The sequence below is a fragment of the Homo sapiens genome, chromosome 13 (genome assembly GCF_000001405.40).
Source record: "Homo sapiens chromosome 13, GRCh38.p14 Primary Assembly".
NCBI classification, from domain to species: domain Eukaryota; kingdom Metazoa; phylum Chordata; class Mammalia; order Primates; family Hominidae; genus Homo; species Homo sapiens.
In genome coordinates this window covers 45,874,629-45,888,389 of record NC_000013.11, presented here as the reverse complement: position 1 = coordinate 45,888,389, position 13,761 = coordinate 45,874,629, and the positions used below count along the sequence as shown (strand labels likewise).

The following is a 13,761-nucleotide window of genomic DNA, read 5'->3' as shown; positions in this document are numbered from 1 at the left end:
TAATTTTTCCTTTCATGTTTTCAACTGGAAACTTCTCCTAATTAAGGTTTATGCCCGATAGTGTTGATTCTTAGCCAAACTGGGAGGCTGTAGGGTGAAGTACACAGAGCAGAGCCTGGACTATCAGACAGGCCTTGGTTCCAATCCTGATTTCATTACCAAAAGGTCAAAAGACTGTGGAATTTGAGCAAATCACTGAACTTTTCCGGGCCTCATCTGCAAAAGAGGGATGGTCATAATCCCTATTTCAAAGGATGACTGTGAGAGATACTGTAAATGAAACATTGAGCACCTGTCCCGGCTGAGAGCAAAACCCAGAAATAGAGTTTCCTTGTCCTTGATGCTTCCCACCTTCAACACCCAACCCCAAAGAATATGGGAAGCCAGATGGGCAACTCTTGGGGAGAGAAAACTAAGAAGGAGACCAGAATCAGCTGGCACTTTGAGCATGTCCTAAATTCTCCGCAGGCTGCTGATCTAACTGGAAAATAATTTGCCACACGCATAACTGGCCTCCTTTACTGATGGGATGAATTTCTTTTCAGAACAGCCTTTGGGGCACAGAGCCCTGGCATGTACCATCAGCCCTGCATGAGTAGACAGTGGTTCCTTCTCTTGGATGGAGATGACTTCCCTTCCTCCTGGGCTTGCACGGAGCTTGATGTCTCCTTCCTCCCAGAGCATTGACTATTTTACCTCATTTTCCAGTTGCCTGTGGGCAGGTTTCTGTCCCTCATTAGAATGTCAGTGGACAGCAGGTGGGATTGAGGGCAGGCAGAATCTGTGCCTCCATCATCATTTTATTTCTCTCTTCCTCCATCAACTTGGTTGGTGGCTGCTAAACCCCCACCCCGCGCCCCCCCCCAAAAAAAACAAAGAAAACCCTCTGTTAATCAAGGGGCTAAGGCCATGAGGCATGAACACCACGGTGCCTAAATTCTCTATTATTCCTCGTCCAGCTTTTATCCATGAATAGTTTTCATGTACTTTTCTGCTTTAAAGCTCTCAATGATATTGAAATTATTGCCTCCATTTCTAGATTGTTGTCTGTCTCCTCCATTACATTATAGATTCTTTGAATGCCCATACAACTCTAGACATTAAACTGAAAATAATGCACTATGAGGAATAAAAATTAGATCTTAAAAAATTTATGTTTATTTTGGTGAAATTCACACAACATAAAATTAACCGTTTTAAATTGCACAATTCAGTGGCACTTAGTACCTTCACACTGCTGTGCAACCACCACCTCTAGCCAGCTCCAAAACATTTTCATTGCGCCAAGAAGAAATTCCATACCTATTAAGCAGTCATTATCTATACTGCCCTCCTCCCAGCCCCTGTGTTCTGTCTCTACAGATTTACCTATTTTGGATATAAGGGGAATCTTTAATATGTGACTGCTTTGGTTTGGATATGGTTTGTTTCCACCAAAACTTATGTTGAAATTTGATCCCCAATGTGACAGTGTTGGGAAGTAGGGCCTAGTGGGAGGTGTTTGGGTCATGGGGGTGGATCCCTCAGGAATGGCTTGGTGCCATTCTCGCGCAGTACTTAGTTCTCATTCTCAAGAGACTGGTTTTATTCTCTGGGAATGAATTCGTCCTGCAAGAGTGGATTGTTATAAAGTGAGATTCCTCCTCCCATTTTGTGCCTCTTTGCATGTGTCTGCTTCCCTTTAACCTTCTCCACCACGTTATGACAGCACAGAAGCCCTCAGCAGATGCCAGCACCATGCCTGGAACTTCCCAGTTTGCAGAACCATGAGCTAAATGAAACCTTTTTTCTCTCTCTTTTTTTTTTTTTTTTTTTTGAGAGAGTCTCACTCCATCACCCAGGCTGGAGTACAGTGGCGTGATCTCAGCTCACGGCAACCTCCTCCTCCTGGGTTCAAGTGATTCTCCTGCCTCAGCCTCCCGAGTAGCTGAGATTACAGGTGCATGCCACCACGCCTGGCTAATTTTTGTATTTGTTAGTAGCAATGGGGTTTTGCCATGTGGGCTAGGTTGGTCTTGAACTCTTGGCCTCAAGTGATCCACCCAGAGTGCTGGGATTACAGGTGCCCAGTCTAAACCTCTTTTCTTTATGAATTACCCAGTCTCAGGTATTATGTTATAGCAACACAAAACAGACTAAGATAGTGATCTTTTGTGATTGACTTCCTTCATTTAGCATATGTTTTCAAGCTTCATTCACGTTGTAATGTGTATCAGGACATCATCCTTTTTTATAGCTGAGTAATATTCTGGTGTGTGTGTGTGTGTGTTTGTGTGTGTGTGTGCACGCGCACACACCACATTTTGTTTAATGATTCATTTGCTGATGGCCACTTGGATTGTTTCCAGCTTTTGGCTATGATGAATACTGTCATTATGGACATTCATGGGGAGCTGGGTCTTGTTCACCATTGCAGTCTTACGGCAGTAGGCCTGCAATCACTATTTATTAAATAGTTGGGTGGATGCTCAAAAAATGCCTGTAAAAAATGCCAGTGCAATAGATTTTAAGCTCCAAGTTTAAAAGGTGATGTTGCCTCTTCTCCTCTAGCCCCAAGGAAAACAGCTCACACTGTTTTGGTGCTTGACAAATGTTATTGGTGTTGACAGTGTTGATAATATAGGCAATAATAATGAAGGAGAAACCAAGAATGATGTTTCTTCTAGAATTGGTTCTGGTAGTAGCATTGCATTTCATAGAATCATAGGTGAATTTATGATCATAAAATTGGATAATTTAAAGACAAATGGCTTGTGTTTTAGATGTTCCTCAGCTCCTGCAGAAATCCAGAAAAGGTTAATCTTGTGTGGATTAGAATCCAAACAAGAATTATGATATTGGAAAAGAGCTTCACATCATCCCCACTTCTGCATAAGGGAGCATTAGAATTGCAGCACGCAGAGCAGGGCTGCTGCATGCTGGGCTCTAGAATCACCAAGATTCCAGCCTACTGAGAGATGACAGGTGACAGGCTTTCCTCTTTGGAGGAAAGGCAGCAAGCAGACCTGGAGTCAAAGAGAAGAAGCTGTGAACGGAATACTGACAGACCCTGAGGAAAGAGCCACGCGGTGGCAAATCAAAGCAAATCGCATTGTAGGAAGAAAAATCAGTCATGTAATGGCCTTTTCAGTGACACCTGAACAAATTGTTAGTAAGTATTTTCAAGGTATTCATGTGAATATAAAGTATATCCTAGTTTATGACACATTTTGAAGTATAATGAATTGCACAGTAATGTTGTTAGAGTCCTGCTCTAAAGTTGTGTGGGATGGAGAGCTTGAAACAATCAGTGATCCTACATTGATTCACTTATTCACTCATTCATCAAACACTTATAGAGTAATTACTATGTACAAGGATCTGTAGTATGGATGACTGGGTGGAGCTCATGGTCAATGGTGAGATACAATTTGGTCTTGAAGACAGAATAGAAATTTACCTGGATGGGCATGGACTGAGGAGAGGAAGGCATAGGACTGAAAATCAAACTCAGTGAAGATGGAAAGATATGACATAGGGACAAGGTTATTTTAAACTGCAGATAACGCAATTATTAATTTTAAATTATTTGTGATGCTCTATAGCTGGGCAATATTCAAAGAAAATGATTTTGGAGTAAAATATCTTACTTGTAATTTATTAAACAATGTTACCTGCCAACATTTAAAAAAGAATTGAGGTGATTTACAATAAAAATTCCTTATTCTCAACAAAAAAGAATTCTCTTTTGAGCACCTGAAGTTGGAGTGGATGTTCTTGGTAGTCCACGGCCCTCACTAGCCCCAGATATGATGACTGTCTACTGCCAACAGGACTCCTGTGACTCTGCCCCTGTGCTCTGGTGCTGGGTATCTTGCTGTGTGCTCAGATACTTGTTATTCCACTCTGTACTGGTTGGCTTCCTCCTCTTCCCTTTCTCATTTCCCCACTTATTTCCCAGTGCTTCCTGAGACCTCCTCACCAATAAGCTATTTGCATTCAAATGTTTGTCTCAGGGTCCATTTTAGGAGGAATCCAACTGCTGTAGTTTGAACTGTGTCTCACATAAAGATATGTTGGGATCCTAACCTCACCCCCTACTTGTGCATGTTACCTTATTTGGAAATAAGATCTTTGCAAATGTAACCAATCAAGTTAAGATGAGGTCATCCTGGATTAGGGGAGACCCTAATCCAATATGACTGGAGTCCATATAAGAAGAAGAGAAGAGACACAGACACACACAGGGAGAACACTGCATGAAGATGGAGGCAGAGATTGGGATGACCCATCTGCAAGACAAAGAACCCAATGAGCGCCAGACGCCACCGGAAGCTAGGAGAGATGTACAGGAAGGAATGTCCCTCAAACCTCCGGAAGGAGCCAATCCTGCTGACATCTGGATTTTGGACTTCTGGCTTTGAGAACTATGACAGAATATATTCTTGGTTTTTTTAAGCCACCCTGGGAAACTAATACACCATCCTATGACAAAAGTATTTCATTCTTCTGAATTTTCCAAGATTCTGGGGCTCCCAAGTCCCTTATAGCTGGGGTCTAAATTTTTCCTGCTGTGGCGTCAGACTATGATGGCCAGAGAGATCAGGCAGAGGGGATGGAAGAAAGAGATGAATGGACTTTTGTGGAATCTTCCTGGGTGGTTAGAGCCAAGGAAAATAACAATGTAACAAGATATTACAAAAAGAGGATTGGAAAGCCTAATGCTTCTGTAACATTTACAGATCTTTCTGCACACATCTACAAACCCTACACGCACATGTAACTGACCTTGTACATCTTTTAAATGCTAAGGTATGTTGTATGTCCCCTTTATATGGATCACGGCACTTATCAAAACCTGGCATAAGACTGACTTGCTGGAGGGCGTATAATTTTGAAACTTGCCTGTGTCAAACTATGCATTTCAAACCTCTTTGCTGTTTACATTTCTATTCCATTTTTTAAAACAAAAACAAAAAACCCCCACAGGCACAATTATTGAGATCTCTTGAAAATTATCTTTCTTTATCAAAAACAAATTCCAATTTTCAAATCTTCAAATGTTTTTATCTTCTTTTATCTGCCTTCATTGAGCAAGCTACCTCTTCACTAGCTTGCATGCCAGTCCATTTCTATAACAGATAAATCTTTTAAGTGTTTGACTTTGAATTTGGAAGATGGGGCAAAGACAGAGGAAAATAAGCACAGCCTGATAAAGACCCTGCAAACCCACTCCTGAGGCTGAGGGAGATGCTTCACATGTCTTCGGTAACTTTGAGTTTGACTCCTGGATTGTCATGCCTTAGACTAGGGTCATCAGATAGATACCCACAGCAAAACCCAGTGTGGGCCTCTGGCTGCAAGTGGCCACACCAATTTGGAAGTCTCTTTTAAGGATTTGATCCTGCCATTCTGCAGACAGGGATTGCCATGGTAACTCCCTGGGGGGCATTTTCAACTAGACAGAGACATTCCAATACTTGGAGATGGTTGGTTAAGAAAAGTCTATCTTGACAAATAGTTGGTGTTTTAATTTGGGGCAGAGTCAGAAACTCTGCCTGCAGCTCTGAGTGATCCTTTGAGCAGAAGAATGCCAGTGATCAAAGTAACCTGTGATGTGTGTAATCAGATTCCCAGTGGGGGAGAGGAGGGCCCAAAGCCCTTTCTGTGAGGACTCTTCTTAAGAAAGCAGCCCAGTCAGCTAAAGACCCTGTTAGCGCTGTTAAGAGCAGAGTTAATGATGTTGATTTTAGAAAGGGAGACCAGCATTCTCTTTCTTTTACTCACTTCCTCACTCATTCGCTGTTCCCGTCTCCCTCCTAGAATCTTCCTGTCTTTCTGAGTTCTTTTCCTCTTAGCCCACGTACCATGTTGGATTTTGGATTCATTTGAACATGGAGTTCAATCCCAGTTGTGTGACCTTGTTACCTAATCTCTCTGGGCCACAATTTTCTCATCTGCTAAAAGGAGATAATACCACTTATGGTAAAGGATACCTGAAAACAGTAAATAGATGAGATCTGTAAATTGCTTAGCATAAAAGGAGCACAGTGCTATCCAATAAACACTGGCTCCTTCCCCTCTTATAACTTTTCTTCTGTAGTCTTCGTGTAAAGAAGAATGACTATAAATTAGAGATAAACATATTATTCACCATAGTGCTGTGGGAGGTTGGCTGAAATTAAAGTGTTTGGTGGTATTACTGTTCAAATGGAGGAGAGACCCTCACAGGACAAAGGTGTGATATCCTCCAATAGAGTTAGAATGGCACGAGTAGAAATATCAATTAGTCAACAGAGTCTTCTGTGACCATTACGTGAGTCCAGACTGATGAGGGTGGGGGTAGGAGGAAGGGCAAAATTGTAACAAATAGCACAATACGAATGTACTTAATGCCAGTGAACTGTATACTTAAAAATGGTTAAGATGGTACATTTCATGTTATATGTATTTACTGCAATTTTTTTTAAAAAGATCACAAGTGGTTTCTTGAGGATTTTATACCAGATGGAATAATAATAATGTAGAATGAAATTAACATATTAAACTAAGAAATAAATCCATTTAGGTTTTTCATTAATAACAACAGCCACATGCTTCACTGCTGCTCTGCAAAGAAAAAAGTTGCTGTACATTTTGAAAAGCCAATGAGAGAATGAAAAATCATCAAATCCCACAGATTACAAATGTCTTTTCAAATCTCCTTGAACCAGGATCTTATGCACACACAACACTGATAAAGCTTCAGGCTACCTTTAAAACATCGGCATTTGGTTTTCTCTCTAAATGTCTCCATATTTTACCCCTGAAGGTAAATTAATCTCCATGGAATTGCAAAGTCATTAGACAACTGCGTGAATTGCAAAGCCATTAGACAACTGTGTTTTGCCAGAAAATATGTGAGAGCTTCTGGCTTCTCATACTACCCAGATTCCTGATTCCAGAAAACATGGCCTTCTGCTGGAGGAAGGCTACTTCTCATTTATGGGATGGGCCCTAGTGAGGCACTAGGTCCTGGGCTTCTCTTTGATAGGAAACTTTTTAAATATTACTGATTCAACCTTATTACTCATTATTGGTCTGTTCAGGTTTTCTATTTCTTCATGATTCAATCTTGGTAGGTTGTATGTGTCCAGGAATTTATTAATTTCTTCCAGGCTTTCCAATTTGTTAGCATATAGTTGTTCATACTAGTCTTTTCTGATCCTTTGTATTTCTGTGGTATCAGTTGTAATGTCTCCTTTTTCATCTCTGATTTTATTTGAGTCGTCTCTTTTTTCTTTGTTAGTCTAGCTTACAGTTTGTCTATTTTATCTTTTCAAAACGCCAATTCTTCATTTTATTGATCTCTTATAATGTTTATTTAGTCTCTACTTTGCTCATTTCTGCTCTGATCTTTATTATTTCTTTCCTTATACTAATCTTGGTTTTAATTTGTTCTTGTTTTTCTAGTTCCTTGAGGAGCAACATTAGGTTGTTTGAGATCTTTCTCCTTCTTCGACGTAAGCATCTATCGCTGTGAACTTCCCTCCTAGAACTGCTTTTGTTGTATAGGTTTAGTAAGTTGTGTTTCCATTTTCATTTGTCTTAATAAATTTTTTAATTTCCTTTTAAATTTCCTTGTTGACCCATTGGTTGTTTAGGAGCATGTTGTTTAATTTCCATGTAATTATACACTCTCCAAAGTTCCTCCTGTTATTGATTGCTAGTTTTATTCCAGTGTGGTCAGAAAAGATACTTGATATAATTCTGATTTTGATTTTTGAAAATTTGTTAAGATTTGTTTTGTGGGCTAACTTATAATCTATCCTGGAGAATGTTCTGTGTGCTGTTGAGAAGAATGTGTATTCTGAAACTATTGGATGGAATTTTCTGTAAATATCTGTTAGGTCCATTTGGTCTAGAGTCCAGTTTAATTCTGATGCTTCTTTGTTGATTTTCTGTCTGGATGATCTGTCCGTTGCTGAAAATGGGGTGTTAAAGTACACTACTACAAGTGTATTGCAGTCTATCTCGCCCTTTAGATCTGTTCAATGTTTGCTTTACATACTTAGGTGTTTCAATGTTGAATATAGATATTTTTTTCAATTGTTATATCCTCTTGCTGTATTGACCTCTTTGTTACTATAGGATGGCCTTGTCTCTTTTTACAGATTTTGGCTTGAAGTCTATTTTATCTGATATAAGTATAGCTACTGTGCCCTTTTTTGTTTCTATCTCAAAATTTTTGTCCTAAAGGAGGCTTCAAGGATGGTTGTATTAAATTACCACTTAAAACGGCAAATGCAGTAAATTATTTAATGACTTTTCCACTGCAAGGTTTGGGCTTTTGTTTTCTTCGAATTAAAAATGAAAAAAAAAAAAGCAATTTCAGCAAGACACCATTCAATGTTTTTCAAGTCTGTGGAGTTCCATTCCCAGCTTTACTGCCAGAAAAAAGCATGTCAATCATGTAACTGAAAGGAGCTGAAGGAAGACCTTTCCAGGAGAGCTCTGATTCAAGGCGTGAGGACCAGCGCCAGCAACCACCAGGTGGCTTCTGCTATTCTGGGAGTGAATGAGGCCATGTGCCAGAGGTGTGAGTCCACTCATCGGCCAAAGACAGAGGCACTAAACACTGACCCTGCGTGACACGGATGAGCCTGTTCCTGCCTGGCTCACAGGCTCCCTGTCAGGGAGAAAGAATAGTATTTCTCAACCTTCTTATATTAACACAGGACAATTGGTGCTTTATGTTCTGTATCCTTCTGAGTCCTCACACCAACCCTGTGCAGTAGGTACAACTCTGCCCCTCTCCTCCAAGTGGAAAACGGCTCAGAATGAGAAAATAACTCCCTGAAGTTAACACAGATGGTGAAACAGGGGGCCAGTAGGACTCTGGAACCCTCCCTGCTTCTGCCACACCACAAAGCTTCATTCAGCAACCTCAGAGGAGAAGCCGCAGCAGCTATTGGGAGAGGAGGTTTTTCCAGTTTAGTGGAACACATGAAAGTTGGAAAGCAGCAATAAAATATGGTGCTGCTAAACCGACCAATCAGTTAAGGCCAAGTCCTAGGGGCTTTGAGTGCTATGATGAGGCTTACTGCCTGTGTGGAGTAATTAATGGGGAGCCACTGAGGAGCTGTGAGGAAGGCAGCATCCACACCAGATCTTTAGGGCATCTCTTCCCGCAGCTATCTGAGGACAAACCAAAATGAAAGGGCTTTATGAGTGTCAGATGAGCGTGAGGGCACTAGGAAGAGACACCAAGAACACGTGGTGATGATGTAGGCTCCAGAGCGTGGACTATGTTTTCTGAACAGTGAGACTTTCTTTCTGTACACATCATCTCATGGGAGGAGGCAGCATAGTGTGCTGGTCATATGCACTACCCCGCTCTGCCTCTTTATAGCTGTGTAATTTAGGGCAAATTACTTTCCCTCTCTGTGCTTAGGTTCCTCTTCTATAAAATGGGCATCATAACATGCACCTCACAGGATTGTTCTGAAAGATATCTGAGAAAAAGTTTATTTAATATGTAGCAGAGTATTACATATTTATGAATGGCAGCCATTATATAACTATTTGAAATGGATAAAAGTACTTTGCTCTTTCAATATACCTGGGCAGGCAGGTCTGACTAGAGTCAAAACTATGAAGTAAGTAAAATTAATCTTTGATCTTCCATCTCTAATTCTCATCTCCCAAGCTTCAAAGACCAATGATTATTTTGTAACTCATTTGGTGCCAAACCTGACCCAAAGTCAGGAAGGCTAATGATAGGCTTTATTTTACTTAGTGTGAGGACACATTTTACTGCTGAAGTGTTCATGCATTTGCTAATGGGGAGTTAGGCTGCGGTGCCCAGCTGTTTCATCAAATACTAGTTTAGAAGTTGTGTGATTGACATCTAAAATCAGTTGACTTTAAGTAAAGGAGATAATGGTTAACTTGCGGGTGGACTCCTGTGTTGGTTTGCTAGGGCTACCGTAACCAAGTAACACAGACTGGGTGGCTTAAACAACAAAAATGCCTTTCTCACAGTTCTGGAGGCTGGAAGTCCGAAATCAAGATGGTGGCAGGGTTGGTTTCTCCTGAGGCCTCTCCTTGGCTTGCAGATGGCTGCTTTCTCCCTGCATCCTCACATGGCCTGTTCTCTGGTGTTTCTTCCCACTACCCCACCCTGTCACCTCATTTAACCTTCTTCACCTCTTTAAAATCCCTGTCTCTGCCGGGTGCAGTGGCTCAAGCCTGTAATCCCAGCGCTTTGGGAGGCCGAGGCAGGCAGATCGTGAGGTCAGGAGTTCAAGACCAGCCTGGCCAATATGGTGAAACCCCATCTCTACTAAAAATAGAAAAATTAGCTGGGCATGGTGGCGCACATCTGTAGTCCCAGCTACTTGGAAGGCTGAGGCAGCAGAATCGCTTGAACCCAGGAAGTAGAGGTTGCAGTGAGCTGAGACTGTGACACTGCACTCCAGCCTGGGCGACAGAGTGAGACTCTGCCAAAAAAAAAAAAAAAAAAAAGCCCTGTCTCCAAATGCAATCACTTTGGGGGTGAGGGCTTTAACACATGAATTTTGGGAAGACACATTTCAGTCCATACGAGCCTCATCCAATAAGCTGAAGGTCTTAAGAGCAAAAACAGGTTTCCTAAGGAAGGAATTCTGCCTCAAGACTGAAACATGGAAATCCTGCCTGAGTTCCCAGCCTGTCTTACAAAGTTTAGACTTACCAGCCTCCATGATCATGTGAACCTCACTCTTTTTGTTTGTTTGTTTGTTTTTTGAGATGGAGTCTTGCTCTGTTGCCCAGGCTGGAGTGCAGTGGCATGATGTTGGCTTACTGTAACCTCTGCCTCTTGGGTTCAAGCAATTCTGCCTCAGCCTCCCGAGGAGCTGGGATTACAGGCACTCACCACCACGCCCAGCTAATTTTTGTATTTTTAGTAGAGACAGGGTTTCCCCATGTTGGCCAGGCTGGTCTCAAACTCCTGACCTCGTGATCCACCTGCCTCGGCCTCCCAAAGTGCTGGGATTACAAGCGTGAGCCACCGTGCCCAGCCAGAACCTCATTCTTTAAATCAAATCTCTTTATGTCTATCATATGTATATTTTATATGTGATATATACTTTATAGATATATTTTAAATATATATGGTATATATGTAATAGAATATCTATAACTATATCGTATTAGTTGTGTAGTTGAACATATATAGTTGGATTTTCTCTAGAGAACCGTGACTGATACACTTGGTAATTATCTTAGTTTTCTCTTTAAAGAACCCTGTGAGGGAAGAAGGGGAAATGTATTACCCCTTTTTTCCAGTTGAGGAAACAGTTTCAGTATGTCAAAATGACTTGGTGACTCTCAGAGGTTACAGAGCTCGAGAGGGCAGTGCCATGCACGCCTTTCTTCTGGCCTCTCACCTGGGGCTCTGTAGGTCATGCTGCCCAGAGGCTGAGGGCACCAGATCTGGGGAGTCAGGGCATGCTCCGTGAGTGGAGCCGGGTTGAAGAGAAAGTGGTGGGAATGTCAGTGAGAGTAGCTCATTGAATATACATTTTATTCAATAGGGACTGGCCTTTTGAAAGTGAGCCCCTTTTGGTAAAATGGAAACTCATTTTATTTCATTAGATAACACATTTTATCAGTCTTTGGTGGTCAGTGCTCCTTGCCACTTGATCTTGTCCATTGGCCTTATAAATGATCTCAACTGTGACTCTGGGCTACTGATTAAGTCTGCTAAACATTGGGGATTTTTTGCCTCTAGCAATGCTAAAGAAATCAAGTGTTTTGCTGGTAAGTGACTAATCCATCTGAATATATTAATTACTACATGAACTGCTAAAGCTTTTAGAACACTCTAAGAATATTTTAAGAATACCTTGGTAAAGAAACATCTTCCCCATGACTGTTCTTTTCATGGCCAGGAGAATGTCTCACACCAGAGGAAAACCTCTGTGTTAGACACATCGAAATAAGAACTCAAAAAATTAGAATTAAGTTAAGTGATCATTAAATGTTTGATGAATGAATAAATGAATGTTCTTTCACTGTGTTAGATATGAGTTCAAATTTCTTTTCAAATAATCAATATGTCAGTATGTTTAATTCTTTTCCTTCTACTTTTAAACTTGACTTCCTCATAAAGCAACCTTTTTTGATTATCTGCTGTACCCTGACTCATTCCAATCACCTGCTCCACCCTGACTCATTCCGATTACCTGCTCCACTCCCGATTACCTGCTCCGCCCTGACTCATTCTCCATCCTGACTCATTCTCCACCCTGCATAACCATTTCTTTCCCGCCAAACCACTCACACCTGTCACTCTCTTTAAAGTAGCCAATCGGAATTAGTTTAACCTGTGCGATCTAACCTTAGCCAATAGGGGATCGACACAGCAGCAAGGGCCACGTGCGTCAGGGATAAGAACCCCTTTCCCTCCCTTGTCCAGGTGTGCACTCACCATTGCTCCATCTGTAAGGGCACACCCTTCTATAGAAGTAACTTGCCTTGCTGAGAATTAAAAAGAAAATTTTATATTCGAGTGCTATTTCTTTTGTGGCACCGAAACTTTATTTATAATAACTGGCTTCCCCTCCATCTTGGATTTTGTTTTAAATGAAGGGAAATAGTACCTTGGCTACATGTAGCCACCTTAGATCTTTCAGAGAAGTTAGACACATCGAAATAAGGACTCAAAACATTTCTCTCTTCTGATATAAGTACTAGTCGTTGTCTGTTGTTCTTGTTGACAGAACATTCCATCCAATAGCTTCAGAATACACATTCTTCTCAATAGCACATAGAACAGTCTCCAGAATAGTAATAGGTTAGACCACAAACCAAGTCTTAACAAATTTTAAAAAATAAAAATCATATCAAGTATCTTTTCTGACCACACTAGAATAAAACTAGAAATGAATAGCAAGAGGAACTTTGTATTTGTATAAGTACATGGAAATTAAGCAACCCAGTGACAAATCAGAGAGTTACAAGTGTGGATGGTGTATGTCCACAAACCCAACATGTCTCATGTATAACCAGAGAAAATCCTTCAAAGGCAGGCCAAGGAAATGAGGGAGAATGTTCATAGCAGCACTGTTTGTAAACCCCCAGTCTGGAGCACACTCCATGTTCATCACCCATAGAGTGACACAGACATCGTGGTGCAATTATGGGAAGGAACGCTGTGCCGCAGTGAAAATGAATAAACTCCAGCTGCACACATCAACAGAGATAGATCTCACAAACTACCATGAGCGGAAGAAGCAAATCTCAGAACAAGTTACATAGACCTCAAAGACAGGCCAAACAAAACTCTCTTTTTCCTGATGTATACATGGGTGGTAAAATCATAAAGAAATGCAGGGAATTATCATAAAAGTTAGGATGATGGCTGCCTCTGAGGGGATGGAGGCAAGGGAGGGAAGGAGAGTCCAGAGATGGCTTCTAAGGCACCAGCTCTGTTCTGGTTCTCAATCATAGCAGTAGGAATTCAGGTTCCTGCTTCTTTAGACTCTAAAATAGATAAATTGTATATATGCTGCTGGATGTTTATTTCACAATAAACATGAAGGTTAGGCTGGGTGCGGTGGCTCATGCCTGCAATCCCAGCACTTTGGGAGGCTGAGGCAGGAGGATCACTTAAAGTCAAGAGTTTGAGACCAGCCTGGCCAATAAGGTGAAACCCTGTCTCTACTAAAAATACAAAAATTAGCTGGGTGTTGTGGTGTGCGACTATGCTCCCAGCTACTCAGGAGGCTGAGGCACGAGAATCACTTGAACCCAGGA

The 13,761-nt window shown here is 41.3% G+C and overlaps 2 annotated features.

Annotated features, from left to right (window-relative positions):
- Positions 4,836-5,442: an enhancer, noted in NCBI's record as "OCT4-NANOG-H3K27ac hESC enhancer chr13:46457083-46457689 (GRCh37/hg19 assembly coordinates)". NCBI's record gives its function as "activates a minimal SCP1, AML or CMV promoter by ChIP-STARR-seq in primed H9 embryonic stem cells {active_cell/tissue: H9 hESC(primed)}" and the evidence as "EXISTENCE:reporter gene assay evidence [ECO:0000049][PMID:30033119]".
- Positions 5,443-6,051: an enhancer, noted in NCBI's record as "OCT4-NANOG-H3K27ac hESC enhancer chr13:46456474-46457082 (GRCh37/hg19 assembly coordinates)". NCBI's record gives its function as "activates a minimal SCP1, AML or CMV promoter by ChIP-STARR-seq in naive and primed H9 embryonic stem cells {active_cell/tissue: H9 hESC(naive and primed)}" and the evidence as "EXISTENCE:reporter gene assay evidence [ECO:0000049][PMID:30033119]".